At 35.4% G+C, this 19,151-nt stretch overlaps 1 protein-coding gene and 1 long non-coding RNA gene across 2 annotated transcripts in view; one reads left to right on the top strand and one right to left on the bottom strand.

The window, feature by feature from the left end:
• The first annotated feature begins 9 nt into the window (after positions 1-9).
• Positions 10-19,151, top strand: part of OR2W1-AS1 (OR2W1 antisense RNA 1) — a 40,720-nt gene continuing 21,578 nt past the window's right edge. The window contains exon 1 of the long non-coding RNA NR_125387.1: positions 10-39. This is a non-coding gene — a long non-coding RNA (OR2W1 antisense RNA 1). The remainder of the gene's footprint in view (positions 40-19,151) is intronic.
• OR2W1 (olfactory receptor family 2 subfamily W member 1) lies at positions 8,202-9,164 on the bottom strand. Its single transcript, NM_030903.3, has one exon. It carries the CDS (start codon positions 9,162-9,164, stop codon positions 8,202-8,204), a length of 963 nt encoding a protein of 320 aa, NP_112165.1.

A 19,151-nucleotide genomic window follows, 5' to 3' on the forward strand; every position in this document is an offset into this window, starting at 1 on the left:
CCGGCCGTTAAGGCTGTTGTCTGTTGTCATCAGGACCAGGTAGGTCTCACCCAATTGGGACAGAGAGGTCCCCCGAGGACAGCATCTGCGCGGCGCCGTGGCCTAAAGAGGAGGCCAGGCCTCTCCCTAACTCCGCCTTCGCGGGCCCTGCACCCCAGCAGCCTCTGCGTGTTTCTTCCCGCCCGGCACACCCGCGGCCATCCAAAGGTGCTGTGTGCCGGCGGCCACCAGGTCACCGAGGTGGGGTGGGGAAGACAGGTTCGCCGCTGCTTCAGGCCTGGGATCTCTGCTGGAACTCTCTACATTTTTTAATCAATTTAAAATTTATAATAATGTATGTTTTTTAGGTATTGTTTTTACTGACAAATTTTATTTCTAGATCTTTCATCAGTTTTCTCACGCTGGTCAACAAATAGGCCTTCATCACACACTAATTTGTAATGTCATTCTTTTCATATTTACTGTTGTAATGTAAAACACACTAGGGTCTGTTTTGAGGCAATGTTGTTTCAATCATATGCAAATCAAACTCTTTTTCTTTTTTGAGACAGAGCCTCACTCTGTCACCCGGACTGGAATGCAGTGGCACAATCTCTGTTCACTGCAGCCTCGGCCTCCCAGGCTCACGTAATCCTCCCACTACAGCCTCCCGAGTAGCGGGGACTACAGGCACAGGCCACCACGCCCGGCTATTTGTTTGTTTTTTGTGGAGACAGGGGTGTCTCACTCTGTTGCCCAGGCTGGTCTCCAACTCCTGAGTTCAAGCTATCCTCCTGCCTAGGCCTCCCAAAATGTTGGGATTACAGGCAGGAGCCACTGCTCTTGACCCCAAATCAAACCCTTAGTAATATTTGATAGTATTTCAGTGCTGGCCAGAGCAAATCCTTGCTTATTATTCGTTTATGAAAATGGCTTGACTCTTCTAAGCTGTAATTTGACCAAATAAATCTTGAAATAAATTTGTTACAATCCAAACACAATGCAGACAATTATTTGAAATGTCTGCATTTAAATTTATATTTAAAAGTTATTTTTTGAAGAATGTGGCATGTCTCATTTTATTTGTTTTTCCCTTTTTCTTGGTAAAGATTAATAATACCTTAAAAATGTTCAACATATGTTAAGTTCATCTTTATTGATATCATTTTATTTAATTGCTCATTGCTTATTGTTGTTAGGAGAGCTATATATGTATTTTTTAAATTAAATTTTTTTTTTTAACTTTTATTTTAGGTTTAGGGGTACATATGCAGGTTTGTTACTTGAGTAAATTGTGTGTTGCTGAGGTTTGGTGTTCAAATCATTTTGTCACCCAGATAGTGAGCATAGTACCCAATAAGTAGTTTTTCAATCCTCACCCTCCTTCCTCCTGCCACCCTCAGGTAGGCCCAGGTGTCTGTTGTTCCCCTCTTTGTGTCTGTGTGTACTCAATGTTTAGCTCATACTTATAAGTGAGAACATGTGGTATTTGGTTTTCTGTTTTTGCATTAATTCACTTAGGATAATGGCCTCCAGCTGCCATCCATGCTGTTGCAAGGGACATGATTTCATTCTTTTTATGGTTGCATAGTATTCTGTGGTGTATATATGTCACATTTTCTTTATCCAGTCCACCACTGATGGGCATCTAGATTGATTCTATGTCTTTGCTACTGTGAATAGTGCTGTGATGAACATGCGAGTGAATGTGTCTTTTTGGTAGAACAATTTTTATTTCTTTGGGTATATACCCAGTAATGGGATTGTTAGGTCAAATGGTAGTTCTGAGTTCTTTGAGAAATCTCTAAACTGTTTTCCACTGTGGCTAAACTAATTGAAATTCCCACCAGCCGTGTGTAAGTATTCCATTTTCTCTGCAACCTCACTAACATCTGTTATTTTTTGACTTTTTAATAATGTCCATTCTGACTGGTGTGAGATGGTATTTCATTGTGGTTTTGATTTGCCTTTCCCTAACGATTAGTGATACTGAGCATGTTTTCATATGCTTGTTGGACATGTGTATGTCTTCTTTTGTGAAGTGTTGGTTCATGTCTTTGCTCATTTTTAAATGGGGTTGTTTTTGCTTGTTGATTTGTTTAAATTTCTTATAGATTCTGGATATTAGACCTTTGTTGGATGCTTAATTTGCAAATATTTTCTCCTATTTTGTAGGTTGTCTGTTTAATCTGTTGGTAGTTTCTTTTGCTGTGCAGAAGATTTTAAATATTTATTCTGTATATTTCTTTTTCACGGAGTCTATAGGGATTTCTAATAACATAATTTTTTTGTGTTAAAAATGGAGTGGATTCTGTTATCTTAAAATAATGATAGTTTTCTTTCTTCTTATTTTTTGGGGGATATACCTGTATTTTTCAGCTAATGTAAAACAACAGAGTAGAAACTCTAGTTGATATTTGCTCTTAAGCATTTTAGTTCAGAGGGACTAAAAGCAAGGTGCAACAAATTAAGAAGTAATGAACAGTGTCTAATGAGAAAAATAGAGTGTGTTTTGAACTAGCCTAACCCAATTTGGTCATGCTCAGCAACAGGGTCATTTTTGGTAGTTAATCATAGTGGCTGAAAAAGGTGAAGTGGGCGTATGGTTAGCATTTACCACCACAATCCTATGTCCCAGTTATGATGAAAATGACTCTGATCAAATTCTGCCATGAATATAGAGATTAGTTAACCAGACATTAGCATAAGACAGTTTATGTCATCTTCTCTGTAAATTTAATAAATCCTCAGCTCTCTGCCCTTTAAAATACTCCAAAGTACCTTGTAGAAAGGTGTATTTGAAGAAGATAAGACAACAGAGGTAGGGTTTTACTTTCATGTCAGCATTGAGAAAGTGGAACTTATCCATAGTAGGACACAGGCCCATTTAGGGAACAAGTCTTGGGCACTACCCCTAAAGTTTAGGCTACACATCTTGCTAGGTTCTTATGCCCTTCATAGAAGAATAGGGAATGTTTCTAAAATATGTTAGATGACCCTCATATATTTGGTACCACTAATTTCAGGATGATAACTGATTTAAACCTCAATTATTATGTGAGTTGGCTAGGCATCAAATGTTGACCAAGAGGTAGATAACTGAAGGTCCTGTGGTAGCTGCCTTGGAGGGCAGCCTTTCTGGCTAAATGCTAGTTGACCTCCCCATCTAATAGTGTACATTTACTGATTAGAGCCACTCATGTCCATAAAATGTTATATATATATATATATTTTTTTTTTTTTTGAGACGGAGTCTTGCTGTCTCCCAGGCTGGAGTGCAGTGTCATGATCTTGGCTCACTGGGCTCACTGCAAGCTCTGTCTCCCGGGTTCACGCCATTCTCCTGCCTCAGCCTCCCGAGTAGCTGGGACTACAGGTGCCCGCGACCACGCCCAGCTAATTTTTTGTATTTTTGGTAGAGACGGGGTTTCATCATGTTAGCTGTGATGGTCTCGATCTCCTGACCTCGTGATCCACCGCCTCGGCCTCCCAAAGAGCTGGGATTACAGGCGTGAGCCTCTGTGCCCGGCCCATAGAATGTAATATTTGAATGAATAAATGCACTTATATCAATAGCCTGACAAAGTGTTTTAAAGTATACTACAGTTACCATGACAAAGTGTTTCTCTGAAGAAACTTGTCTATGAAGAATAATGAGATTGGTAAGAAAACATAAATAAAAAGAACTACCAAGGAACATTTCCATCCAACTGATTTTAAAGAGAATAAATTGACCTGGAGTTAATTACCTAGTAGAATTAATTTCTACACAGTGATTTGGAATTTGGGAGTACAATTAGTGAAAACAGGTACTGGAATTGCTCCAGTGTTGGGAATGGACCCACATATTCATAAATGGGTACTTATTGGTACTAGAAAATTTTCTACACAATTACTCTACATTAAATATTACTCCAGGTTTTCAGGACATGGAAGTAGCTTCTTTTTAAAAAATCCTTTTCATGTTACTTCTCCACCTAGATAGTTTCAAAAAGTGTATTATTTTTCAATTTCAAAATTTTATTCATTGAAACATAAACTTGGTCAGTTCTATTCAAGACATCAATATAAAGAGAAATCACTGAATTGTAGAAAGGTTTGTATAAATTAAATTGTAAAAGTGTGAGCTAAAAATATGCATTATTAATACAGAAAGCTTCTTAGTAATAATACCAAATATGTGCTCCTTATAATCACATGGATCAAAATTGTATACTCTTTAGTTAAGGGATGTAATGGGGAAAAATAGAAGATTGGAATTGTTTTAATTGCATCTGTGTTCTGAGGAATGGAGCAGCAGCAGCAGAAGAAAAGGTGTTCTTTTACTTAAAACAACAAATTCTATTTTCTAATGCAAGGTGAGTGTATCTTTACCCCTTATTCTAGTGTTTATAGAAGATAGAGCCAGACAAATATTTCTCTCTAAGTGATAGTGACATTATTCCTTCACAGACACTACAGTTGAAAGAATTGGAGGTCCTAGGTCAGAGACAAAGACAGATTGGAATAGAAGTTGGGACCGAAAGTAAATAAGATCTTCCAAAACATGGAGCAAGGGGGACCTAAAAAAGCAGACATCCAGAGAGCAAAGCTCTGTGGTAGGGATTGCTAAGGAATTTTAAGAAGTCAAATATTCATTAGGCAATGTTTTCCTTTTTATCCTGCAGTATAATCCTCCTTTATTATTCCCAGTTCTTTATGAAAATCCCACTAACTGCATTCCCCACTTGTTAGTGGTACTTTAGAGAATAAAAGAAAATAGGCTTGGTTCACTGGCAAGAGGACAAGAAATAGTCTTTAAGTGGAGAAGAAGCTGTTTCGTACAGTAGAAATTGGTAAGGACAGTGGCCACAGGGACTCAACTGTGAGAGGAGGTTAAAAATTTATCAGGAGCAGTATTTTAAACAAAAATCCTCAAAAATAATAGAATCCTTCTCCCATAGAAAATAATTTTCAGAAATACAATGGAGAGTGTCAGAATTTCTTCAGAAAGTAGAAAGAATTTTAAAATTTAACTTATGCAGGTTGGGCACGGTGGCTCACGCCTGTAATCCCAGCACTTTGGGAGGCCGAGGTGGGTGGATTACCTGAGGTCAGGAGTTCGAGACCAGCCTGGCCAATATGGTGAAACCCTGTCTCTACTAAAAATACAAAAGTTAGCCGGATGTGGTGGCACACGCCTGTAGTCCCAGCTACTCGGGAGGCTGAGGCAGGAGGATGGCATGAACCCGGGAGGTGGAGGTTGCAGTGAGCTGAGATTGTGCCACTGCACTCCAGCCTGGGCGACAGAGACAGACTCCATCTCAAAAAAAAAATTAACTTATGTATTAATACAAAAACCAATATCAGAAATGCCAGAGACCTGGATGAACTGATATCTATAAAAGTGATAAAATGAATCAATGTACTTCAGTAAGTTGGGTACATATTTAGACTTATAAATTATCAGCATCTATACCCAGGTATTGCTTGAAAAATGTTACCAATTAATAATTAGCTTAATTTTTACAGCATGTTTGAAAATTTGATATGCCATATCATTTTTATGCAACATACTTCAATAATACATGTCAGTAAATTTATTTAAGATATAAATATTCATTGTAAAGTAGGTAAATGTATGTACTTGCAAAGATACCCAAACACATCAATTAAAATAATGGGATTAGAATTGGATAATAAGTGCATATATATGTATTTGACCTCTAGAGGTTCCTGTACTTCAAAATTCATCACTATATGACAATTGAGTATCATAGCATCTTCTGCTTGAATCCATTTATAAGTTTTTGTTTAAGAAATGAGAGAAAATTAATAATTGTTATGAATATAAACAGATACAGTAAAAATGGCATTTCATTTTCTCTAGATATTCGTGATTCTCTGAATTTGAATAATGTATTTTTTAGATTATAGTCTTCTAAAGAAGAGAAATATTGAAAGAATTAGCTATTTACTTGCACTGAGGGGAGTCATTATGTGCATTTTCTACTATGGTTTTCTTAGTCCACCACTCCTCAAGTTATGATGGTTGACTCAGAAGGGTTGCTTTTATCTTTAATCATAAATCATTATGAATTTCCTTGTCTGAACTAGTCAACATCTACCATGTTGTGGTTAATTGGTACCAATCAGAGTTGAACTTCTTGTGGAAGAATCTGGAGATGTCCATATGAAAGGAAAATAGGCAATAAACTAGATTGTATTATATTGCATTTTTCCAACACTAGGCATATGTGGTTTTGAAAATTACCTATTTACTGAGTGTTTTGTGAGTGGCAGAAACATTTTCCTGCCCTGGCCAAGGGCTAACCTTAGAAAAAGATAAATGTGATGGGTATAAAATCTAAGAGAGCTGACTTAGTTTCAGGATATTGTTAAGCCCGTTGAGACTGGTGCTCCACAACAGTAATTAAGCATAATTATGATGCAGGTCAAGGTAAGACATTTCCGAAATTTTCTAGGACATGTTTTTGAAGGCTTGGGATATTCTGCTTAGCTCATATTTGTGTATGTTTTTTTTAGTTAAAAATGATAACAAGATGATTTTTGCTCTGTTTACAAACATTTGCATGAACACTGAAAAATTCATCCAAATCGTTAAAAATATTCAATGCCTACTAAGAGTCATGGAACCCTATTATATGATGGTGAATCGAGAAAGAACTATACAAAATTATGCTTTCAAGAAACTTATAATTACATTGGCTAGAGGCTTATCAGTTCTATAAATAATATTTACAAAACAATGCAATTCTAACCTTCATAGAGATTTGTATGGCTTGTTAAGAGAACCATAGTCTAAGACAATGGGCTTCAACGGGGGGGCACACTCTGGGATGCAGAGACTTTTGTAGGGTTATAAAGTTAGTTTTAAGGAAATAACTTCCAGATCCTCCTTGTTCCTTTGTTTTCTTCGCTAACATTTTCTTGAGGAAATGCCAGGTTGAGGAGTTAGACAGGTTCTCTTTCCAGCCTTCACTTTCAAAGATCCCTTCTCCTCCTTCACAAAAGAAAGGCATAATTACCATCTCTCCTGATCTTACTGTAACATATTATCCACATTGTGAAAACCAGTGGTACACCAAAGAAAGGGACAACTCAAAATGCTAGTGGTGTGCTGCTCATCATTAAAGATGACATGATGGAAGAGAAAATATATATTTTTAGATTCTAGCAGTGTGTCTTTCTAGATCTATCTAGATTGGCTACTATTATTAAATAATGGGCACTTTTAGAGAAAGGTATCAGATCATGGCAAAAATAAAAGTTTAATTAAAAAGTAATCACATTGTCCCATAAAAGCTAAATATTATATTATGATAAATAGAAATAAAAAGATTTATTCTGTTATGCAATTCCACTACATATAAACATTACCACATTTCTAAAAATTCACGTAAATCCGCCAGTTCCACAGATGTATGTCAAAAGCCTAACTGGTTTCAAACTAGTCATATTATCTTTCCATTAAGTTGAGACAATCATGGAATAAACATTTAACGAATGAAAGAGAAATTGATAAGACTGTGTCATTACCTTTAAAACCCTTTAATTTGTGGCTTTATATTACGATAGAGTAGTAATAGACTTAAATAGCAGAGACCCTTTACTCAAGATATCGATTTGAAATTTCATTGAAAAAAGAGTGAATTGTTTTAAATGGGGCTTATGACAATTACTGTCTTATAAACTGCACTGTTTGCATCAAACACAAATAAATATTTGGGTGGCATTACAAAAGATTGGGTGTACAAAATCATTATTGTGTATATGTATATTTTTTCTCAAGCTCCAATAGAATGAACATTATGGGTATATTATTTAATATACACACCATAATGTATATGAAACCATTTGCTCAGGTCTATACTTTGGAAGAGGCAAGGATTAACATTGAAAATACAAAACTAGATAACCAAAACAGTTTCTATGTGGTTTTAGAATAAATTAAATGCATTCAAATTTATGTTTACATCCCATTTGTGTTTTATTTCAAGCAAAAATAAAATTTCTAATGATCTGTTTTCTCTGATGATATACCAATGATCAGGGACATAAAGGAGCTAAGTAGAATGGTTGTAATTTTGTTTGCATCTACAAAATGTTTGTATATAATAATTATATTTATGGATCTCCATGACCTAGGAATTACTTGCATTTGTAAAAATTAAAGAAAATTAGAAAACATATTTAATTGCCTTATTCACTCTAGTCTTTATCTATGACTTGCAATTCCTCTTTATTTTTGTAGATTTGTGGTGAAATCTCATCAGTTTCTTCAGGGCATCCTTCATGTCCTTATTTCTTAAGGTGTAAATGAGCGGGTTGAGACTTGGAGTGATGACGGTGTAAAAGAGGGTGAGGAACTTGCCCTGGTCTTTGGAAGCCCTGTTACCTGGTTGCAGGTACATGTAGATAATAGTTCCATAGAACATAGACACTACAGTAAGATGAGATCCACAGGTATTCATTGCTTTTCGCTGGCTTGCTTTTGACTTCGTTCTCAGCACAGCTTTGGCAATGTAGCCATAGGATATAAGAATAAGGATGAGAGGTGTGAGGACAATTATAATGCCTAAAGCGAAAACAGACATTTCAACTGTTGTGGTGTCTACACAAGCTATCTTGACCAGAGCTGGCAACTCACACAAGAAATGATCCAGAATGTTGTTTCCACATGTGGGCAAATTCAGAGTGAGTGTACATAATACTACAGAATTGGCCAAACTAATACTCCAGATCATGATAATCATCTTTAGACATAGATGTGGGTTCATGACTACAAAATAATGCAAGGGCTTACATATAGCTGTAAAACGATCATAGGACATAACAGCCAGGAGAAGGCACTCAACTGAGCCCAACCACATGTAAACATAGAGTTGGATGATACAACCCACATAGCTGATGGTCTTATCAGGTCCCCACAAGTTGACCAGCATCTGAGGGATGATGCTGGTTGTGAAACATAGATCTAGGAAAGATAAATTTCTGAGGAAAAAGTACATTGGTGTATGAAGCTGGGAATCCAGGAGAGATGCAAGAATGATGGCTGTGTTACCCACCAATGTAATTAAGTAGAAGATGGCGACAACTCCTGACAGGATCATCTCCATTTTTGGATGGTTAGAGAAGCCAAGCAGAATAAAACCATGTAAAGAACTATAATTGCTTTGGTCCATAGTCCTTCAATGTCTAAATCCTAGAGTGAGAAAAGGAGGAGGAGGAGGTAGATGATGATACAAGGATAAGGAGAAGGAAGAAGAAGGAAGAAGAGGTAGAGGAGGAGAAGGAGGAGGGAGAGGAAGAAGAAAAGGAAAAGAGGAAGAAACAATTTGTCAACATGAACTATCTAAATAATTTGATAAAATTAGAACTAAACAAAGAGAGATAATTTATGTTACTAATTGAAAAAATTTAATGGATAAAAGTAAAAATTACAGCCAAGAAATCTGCTATTTGTCATAGATTCTTTTATGGCAATGAGTTTAATATTAGATTTTTTAAAAAAAATCCAGGTGACCTTGGGGAGTTCACTTTTAAACTTGAGGTCTGAATTATCTAACGTGTAGATTTGAAAGTTTGAAATAGATGCTGGTTCTAAAATGACCCTATGATTCTTTATAAGCTAGTTAGCTTGATAAAATGAACATATTCTTTTATTTGATCAGTAAATTCACCTATAAAATTTAAGTACTGGGCTAATGGTAGGATGAGGAAAAGATGTGATAACCTGGAGGATGAACCTGGGGACATCATGCTAACTGAAGTAAGCTGAAAGACAAATATTGCATGATTTCATTTATATATGGAATCCAAAAAAGTTGAACTCATAGAGGTAGAGAGTGGGGGCAGGAGATGGATGGGAAAAGGGGAGATGTTGATCAAGGGTACTAAGTTTCAGTTAGAAAAAAGGAACCAGTTTTAGTGATCTCACAGAATGGTGACTACAATAAACAATAATGCATTGTTTATTTCAAAATTACTAAGAGTAGATTTTAAGTGTTTTCACCACAAAAAATAAGTATGTTAGGTGATGGGTTTGTTAATTAGCCTGATTTAATCATTACACATTATAAACATATATTAAAACATTATATTGCACCCCATAAACATATACAATTGTTGCTTAATTAAAAATAAACCTTAAAAAAGAGTGAGGAAAGATTGTTCTTCTTTTTTCATATCTTAGTGACTAAGCACCTTTGATCTCCTAGTTTGTTATGTAGGACATCTGGTGTTTACCCTTGGACGCCTTGTCTCTCTCATTCTTAACGCCTTATCACCAAAACTGGTAAATTTGGATGCAAATATATATGCTAATTATCCTATCACTTTAAAAAATCCCTACCACCACAACCCTAATTCAAATCACTATGATTTCTTTTCTGGATTCTGGCAATAGTCTTGCATCCAGTCCTTGCATCCAGTCTTATGCCTTTACATTGTTACAACATTTGATGAAATCATGTCATCCATCTCCTTAAAACTTGTCAGCCACTTTACACTACATTTAAGAAATACTATATTGTATACTTAAAATTTTGCTAGGAGGGTAGATCTTATGTTAAGTGTTCTCATCACACGCACACACATACACAACACAATAAAGAAGGTGGGAGGAAACTGTTGGAGGTGATGGATGTATATATGGGATAGATTGTGTTGATGGTTTCACAGGTATATACTCACCTTCAAACTCATCAAGTTGTATACATTAAATCTGTACTGCTTTTGTATGTCAGTCATACTTCAATAAAGTGGTCAAAAAGCTAATATAAAACATTTGGTTAAAAAATAACAGCCATTAGCCAGGTGTGGTGGCGTACTCCTATAGTCCCAGCTACTCAGGAGGCTGAGGCGGGAGGATCACTTGAGCCCAGGAGTTTGAGGTTGCGGTGAGCTATGATTGCACCACTGCACTCCACCCTGGGTGCTGGAGCAAGATCCTGTCTCAAAAACAAACAAAACCCAGATAAATATCAAACTGGTGCTTCTTCTCTCTCTTTATATAGATGTAGTACAAAAAGTTGTGCTTTTTTTGTTTGTTATGCCATTTCAAATATGTTTTTTTGAATGTTATTAAGAAATTACTTCCAACTGTGGCCATGATTCAAAAGTGGATACATTTGTGAGACTAACCGGAGATGGTGGTTGAAATAGCCGTTTTGAGAAAATCATTTTGTGATTTCTTTAGCATTAGCTTTTCAAAAATTATGATTTGATTCTGAGTTTTGCCATTAATCAAATTGGATAGAAAGAAAAATAATTCTCTGAAAGATATTTCAAGCTGTCACACCCCATTAAAGTTCCATAATGTCTGAGCAGGGGCATCAATAATTAATGCTTATTTATTTTAACAGACTCGTTGATGTGTATAATTGTGCCTAACTTCTGAATAAAATAGGGCTTCAGTTAAAATTATATAAAAACCTGAAAATTCTTTTAAAATTAAAATCAATATTATGCTGTTAATTTCTTAACTATTTCATTATTACTACAGTCCATAAAGATTAACTCAGGAAAGAATAAAAATCCTCCTTCTGCCTATTAAAAAGTGACATAGAAAAATCTTCAAATAAATTTTCATGCACAGTATGAGATTTAGAAATGGATACATAAAATCTGAGTCCTTTATGGCTCCACAACCTTCAAGAATAAAATATTTTGCTGACAAGTTTCACAAATGGCATTAAAAAACAAAACAAAACAAAATTAAAAACAAGTATCTGAATTCTTCATTTTCAATTTAATCTATCTTTCTCGCTTTTGTTTCTGCTGGATCAATATTTATTCTCAGACTTCTGAAATAAAACCAGCCCATACAGATCTAAGTTCTTTTTCTTCTACTTTCTACAAATTGTTTTACCAATCCAGGCATACTGTTTCTCCAAGAGATTAAGGATGAACATTACTGTGATCCAGAGGGAGTTCCTTTGCCATTCTACTTCTCGACTTTTGTAGAATCCACACTATGGAAAATAGATCCCGGTTAAGCATTTTTTTCTCCAGGGCTGTAAATTTCTCATGATTTCCCTGCAGTGCCACGGAGAATTCTGCTTTTCCCAAAGTGTGTTAGGGTAGAGATTCTCAACAGGACTCCTCCTTCTCGAATATATGACTTCAAGTAAGAGGATGAAACCTGTCACAAATTCTTACTTCTTGTTCTGAGTTTAAATCAACCTGCAAGTAGGTCTTGACCATAGAGAAACATTAGGAAAAGCAACCGGATAATTCAGAATCAGAATTGAACAAAATTTCCCAGTATTACCTGAAGACTCAGATAATCAAAAAGATTATCTAAACCATTGGGACTGCATCCAATTAACTTTACTAGAGTACAGTGTCATAGAAAATGCCAGCCTAGAATTAGACCATACCCTAATATTTCACTAGGGCAGGTTTAGTAGATGTAAAAGTTATTTAATATGAAGGAAAACTATAGGACAAAGAAATAAGAAAATGTATTTTCATATTTTTTTGGTTGTGAATGTATTATAATATAAAATTTACTCTTAAATAATGTAGATTTCCAACACTACAATTATACTTAGCTACAGAAAAATCTTACCATTCAAAGCACAAATATTGATTGTGGAACTAAACTTGCTCTGAGCAGATATCATTTAAATGAGGTACCTCTAGTGGTTATCTCTGATACCCATGGTCAGAACAGTTGTATTTGAAAGAGATGTTTAATCCCCAAAGCTCTAAACAGTAAGACCAGAATCATAAGATTTACATTTTTTCTCAGTTGTTTTGGTGACCATGAGGGATGATTCAAATACTTCATTGTCTACGACAATTAGTTTTGTTATTGTCTCAGAGGTCACTATTTACACATTAAATTCTAGAGTAAGTATATACTATGAAAATTTTTGTGAGTTGGCTTATAATCATAGGTTTTAACAGCTTCCTTAAATTAAAATTACATATCAGTAATAATTGGTTTTAATAAAATACATAAGCACGAATTGGCTGCCTCATGATACATGTTCAAATGTGGATGACATTACTGATCAATAAAATAATTTTAACTATCTGCTTCTGTACGATAATCAATATATTTTACACTTGAGATATAGTATAGTGTAATGGTTAGATGGATAGATTGTGGAGCCAGACTTTCTGGGCTGAAATCCTGGTGGCTACAGTTACCAGATGTGTGAACTTGGGAAAATTACTTAACCTTCATTGCCTCCGATTTCTTATCTATAATAGGGGATATTATAATACATAATTTAAAGGGCGAATGTAAGGATTCAATAAGTTTAACATATGTAAATACTACAGTACTGGTTGGCACACAGCATCCAAATAAGTATTAACTGTTACAATTTCAATCAGTTCAGGGTGTCTGTGTGCTGCAGAAATATTTGGGGAAAGTTTATGCTGATATTTGATAAAACATCTGGAAAATACTCTCCTTATAAGCACTTCCTTTAGGATTTTATATATAATACACACATATATGAAATATATATACTATATACATAGTATATACATATGTATGTGTATGTATTCTTTATAAATGCTATAATAATGATGATAAAAAGAAACATAACATCTACTAATGGTACATTTTTGTCTATCAAGATTCTAAACATCTGAATACTTGAAACTGTTCACTTTGACTGGAGATCTCAGTTTCACTTATGTATTTTTCTCTTCCCCTTTAGTCAAATTTTCTACAGTTCTCCTTTTTCTTTTAAAAACCACTTTAAAGTTATAATTGAATTTCACAATTTCAATTCAACCATAGCAAATATTCAATTTTCATTTGAAAAACAAAAATGTATATAAATTGTCATGCCCACCCATGTTTCTGGTTTAAATACATTCCTACACAGTGACTTTTCTAGTCCCTTGCTCCTTATTCTGTGATTAAAATCCATGGGTTTGTTACTCTGGAGAAATTATAGAGAAATCCTTTGGATTTTTGAATTAATTTTTAAAAAGGTTTTCATTTGTTATCAAAAAATGGATATACCCAGCTTGTAAAGCAGATGCCCTTGCCTTAAACTTTAATATAAGACCTTTCCATACCCCTTTGAATAAATCAAGACATGTTTTCCTGTTTCCTTTTTATTTAACAATTTTTTCCCTTGCTTACTTTAGCCCTTAACTTATGGAAACCATTTAAAGTGAAGTTATTAGCAGTGCTTCCACAACTGGCCGCATATCAGAGTAACTGTATTGGCTGGCATATGTAGAAATTTTAGAAATACAGTGTCCTGAGATTCCTATGCCCTTGCCAAAGGCTCAATTCTTTTCTGTTTATACTGTGTCCCTAGATAGAATCTTAGAGTTTTAAGGATTTGAATCCCATCTACATATTGATGGCTTTCAAGTGTCTATTTCCAGTCTTCTACATTGAGCATGGAATAGGTAGTTCCAACTGCCTAATTTCATGCACAAAATTATGAGTCTAAACATAGCTAAAATAGATCTCTTGATTGCACTGAATCTGCTCTCATTCCAGTCTTCCTCATTGTAGTAAATGATATAAACATGTACCTATTTCTGGCCAGAAACCAGTAATTAAGGAGTTATCCTTAATTACTAGCCTGCCCTCATCTTGAAAATCTGAATGATTCCAAGCTCGACTTCTCTCCATTTCCAGAATGACTAACAAACTGGGCCACCCTATTTTTCCTGGATTACCCAATGGATTACTATCTTGTTTCTCTGCTTTAATTCATTCCCCTTTCAATCTATTCTCCATATGGCGGCCAAAAGCGTTCTTTAAAAAAACCACACGTTGGCTGGGCGCGGTGGCTCACGCCTGTAATCCCAGCACTTTGGGAGGCCGAGGCGGGCAGATCACCTGAGGTCAGGAGTTCGAGACCAGCCTGATAAACATGGAGAAACCCCGTCTAACAATACAAAATCAACAATACAACAATACAAAATTAGCCGGGTATGGTGGCGCATGCCTGGAATCCCAGCTACTCTGGAGGCTGAGACAGGAGAATCGCTTGAACCCGGGAGACAGAGGTTGCTGTGAGCCGAGATCGCACCATTGCACTCCAGCCTGGGCGACAGAGCGAGACTGTGTCTCGAAAAAACAAAAAACAAAACCCAAGAAAACCAAAACCACAAATCAAGTATTTCCATTTGCCAATTTGAAATCTTTTTAGACTTCCTATGCACTTAACTATAAAATTCAGACTCCTTACCAAGAACTACCAGATGCACCTTGCCTGGCTCCTTTTCATCCCTCCCTCCTTCTCCCATTCGTCTCATGCCTTTGTCATTCCAGGGTTGCAGGTGTTAAAGTGTCTTTGCATTGAATTTCATTGGCCTGGCAGATTCTGTCCCCAAATTGAACTCCTTGTTTGTAATCGTTTTTCAGATATAATCTATTCAACGAGATCTTCCTTGACTACTTAATCTAAATTAAAATCCCTCCTCCCCAGCTAATCTCTATCACATTTCCATGTGTTTTTCGTAGCACTTATCACTCTAAATTTTGTTTTTTTTAAATGTATCTCCCCACAATTAAAACCTAAGATCCAAACGAATATGGATCTGATCCCCCTTTTTTGCCACGTAACTGAATGAATCAATTCAACAAATTTGATTAGCAATAGAAATATAGCAAACAACTAAATAGACAAAACAGTAAAGTCCCTGACTTAATGGAGCTTACTTTTATTTGTGAAAACAAGCTCATCAGCCAAATTATATATAGTGTTTTATTTGTTCATTGCTTTTTTTTTCTTTCTTTTTTTATATAACATCCCACCAAATAGAAACATTCTCTCTTTAGGAATAGTGTTCCGTGTAGATGTTGATTTCTTACTATGCAATTTTACGGACATTGTCTTCCAATATTTCCGTAGACTAATTGGTCAGGACCTGATAGCCCTGTGATAATGCTGCACTCAGCATTCCTTGATGATGCTATATTAGCTTCCAGTGGCTGTTTGGTGCCTGGAAGGGAGTCTAGCATGTAACAGGGATCAATAATTGTTTGTTGACTATAAAGCAGTTAGAACAATATCTGATGTGTATATTAAATATCCCATTCAGTCAAGGTTATCTAGGGTGATATATTCAAGAAATATAATGCTAACTCATTTATGTGGTGATGGAGATCCGTGTTTAATGATATTGATCATCAAATAGCCTGGATAAAGAGTATGTTCCCAGAAGAAAGAGATTTCTGAGACTGCTTTTATGTTATCCTTTACATTTCTATTTTTTGACTCTTTTTTTTTTGGCTTTTGGCTTTTGGGTCTCACTCTGTCACCCAGGCTGAAGTATAGTGGTGTGATCATGGCTCATTTTGGCCTCAAACTCTTGGGCTCAAGCAATCCTCCCATTTCAGTCTTTCCAGTCACTGGGATTAATGGTGTGTGCCACAAAACTTGGCTCTGTTTGATTTTTTTTTTTTTGGTGGACCATATATTTTACCAAAATATCTGAAATATTGTAAATGATATTTTTTGAAATATCGGAAAATATTTTTGGTATATTTTGGGGAAAAATACAAAACCAAAACAATCTACCTATTTACCTTCTCGTGAACTTATGAAATCAAATATTTTAAGCCTTATTTTCCCCAAACCGTATATGATTCTCTCAATAGTTGCAGAAAAATCTTCTGATAAAATCCAACACCTCTTCATGTTAAAACCCTCAATAAACTAGGTATCCAAAGAACATACTTCAAAATAATAAAAGCCATTTATTTCAGTCCCACAGCCAACATCATACCAAATAGGTAAAAGCTGGAAGCATTCCCTTTAAGAACTGGAATAAGACAAGAATTCTGACACTACTCTTATTCAACGTAGTACTGAAAATCCTAGCCAAATAAATCAGGCAAGAGAGAGAAATAAAAAGCATCCAGATAGGAAAAGAGGAGTCAAATTATGCTATGATTCTATGACTAGAAAACCCCAAAGACTCTGCCAAAAGGCTTCTAGACCTGATAAAACAACTTAAGTCAAGTTTGAAGATACAAAATCAATGTAAAAAATCAATAGCATTTCTATACACCAATAATGTTCAAGCTGAGAGCCAAATCAAGAATGTAATTCCCTTTAAAATACACACACACACACACACACACACACACACACACACACACAAAATCTAGGAATACTTCTAACCAAGGAAGTGAAAGATTTCCACAAAAAGAACTACAAAGCACTGCTGAAAGAAATCATAGATGACACAAACAAATGGAAAAACCTTCCATGCTTATGGATTGGAAGAATCAACAACATAAACAAAATGTCTAAATTTTACCGCCTAAAGCAATCTACAGATTCAACACTATTCCTATTAAATTACCAACGTCATTTTACACAGAACTAGAAAAAATGATTCTAAAATTACACGGAACCAAAAAAGAGCCCAAATAGCCATAACAATCCTAAGCAAAAAGAGCAAAACTGGAAGCATCACATTACTGGACTTCAAACTATGCTACAAGTCTACAGTAATCAAAACAGCAAGGTACTGGCACAAAAATAGGCACCTAGACCAATGGAACAGAATAAAGAACCCAGAAATAAAGCAGCATACCTACAACCAACTGATCTTGAACAAAGTCGACAAAAATAAGTAATGCAGAAAGGACTCCCTATTCCATAAATGGTCCTAGGAAAACTGGCTAACTATATTCAGAAGGATGAAACTTAACCCTTACCAAGCACCATATACAAAAATTAATTCAAGAAAGATTAAAGACTTAAATGTAAAGCCCCAAACTATAAAAATCCTGGGGAAAAAACTCAGAAATACCCTTTTGGACATTGGCCTTGGCAAAGAACTTATGACCAAGTCCTCAAAAGCAATTGCAACACACAAAAAATTGACAAATGGGACTTAATTAAACCAAAGAGCTTCTGCACAGCAAAAGTACCTATCAACAGAATAAACAGACATCTTACAGAATGGGAGAAAATATTTGCAAACTATGCATCTGACAAAGGACTAATATCCAGAATCTATAAGGAACCTAAACAAATCAACAAGAGAAAAACAAATAACCCCATTAAAGAATGGGCAAAGAACATGAATGGACAATTCTCAAAAGAAGACATAAAAGCAGCTAACAAACATATAAAAAATGCTCGAACACTAATCATTAGAGAAATGCCACTCAAAACCACAATGAGATACCATCTTGCACTAGTCTGAATGGCTATTACTAAAAAGTAAAATAATGACAGATATTGATGAGGCTGCAGAGAAAATGGAACACTTTTATACTGCTGGTGGGAATGTAGATTAGTTCAGCCACTATGGAAAGTAGTTTGGGAATTTCTCAAAGAACTGAAAATAGAATTACCATTCAACCTAGCAATTCCATCACTGGGTATGTGCCTCCCACCCAAATAAATTGTTCTACCCAAAAGACACATGCATTCACATGTTCATTGCAGCACTATTCACAATTGCAAAGACATGGAATCAAGCTAGGTGCCCATTAATGGTGGATTGGATAAAGAAAATGTGGTACATATACAACATGGAATGCTACACAGCCATAAAAGAGAACGAAATAATGTCCTTTGAAGCAATATGGATGCAGCTGGAGGCCATTATCCTTAGCAAATTAATGCAGAAATAGAAAACCGAACACCACATCTTCTCACTTGATTTAAAATTTAAGGAGATAAATCCTGGGTACATACAGACATAAAGATGGAAACAGTAGACACTAGGGATTCCAAAAGGAAGGAGAGGAGGAGAGGAGCAAGGACTGAAAAATTTCCTATTGTATACTATATTCACTGTCTGGGTGACAGGATTAATATAAGCCCAAACCTCAGCATCACACAATATACCCTTGTAATAAACCTGCCCATGTATCCCCCTGAATCTAAACTAAAAATAGAAATTTAAAAAACCCCTTTTTCATAGTAATCATAAAATATACACTTATGCAATTTATGAAAATAATATAGTTTTACCTCTGTTCTTTTCACTGCAGCTTTGTGAAGGTATAATTAACAAGTAAAAATTGCATACACTTACTATGTGTATGATGTTTTGACATATGTATATATTGTGAAGTGATTACCACAAACCAGCTAATTAACCTATCCATCAGCTGACATATTTTTTCTTGTTTTGTGGTGAGAATATTTAAGATCTACTCTCTTAACAAATTTCAAATATTAAATACTGTATTGTTAACTATATTCACC

This window comes from Homo sapiens, chromosome 6, assembly GCF_000001405.40.
Source record: "Homo sapiens chromosome 6, GRCh38.p14 Primary Assembly".
In the NCBI taxonomy this organism is placed as follows: domain Eukaryota; kingdom Metazoa; phylum Chordata; class Mammalia; order Primates; family Hominidae; genus Homo; species Homo sapiens.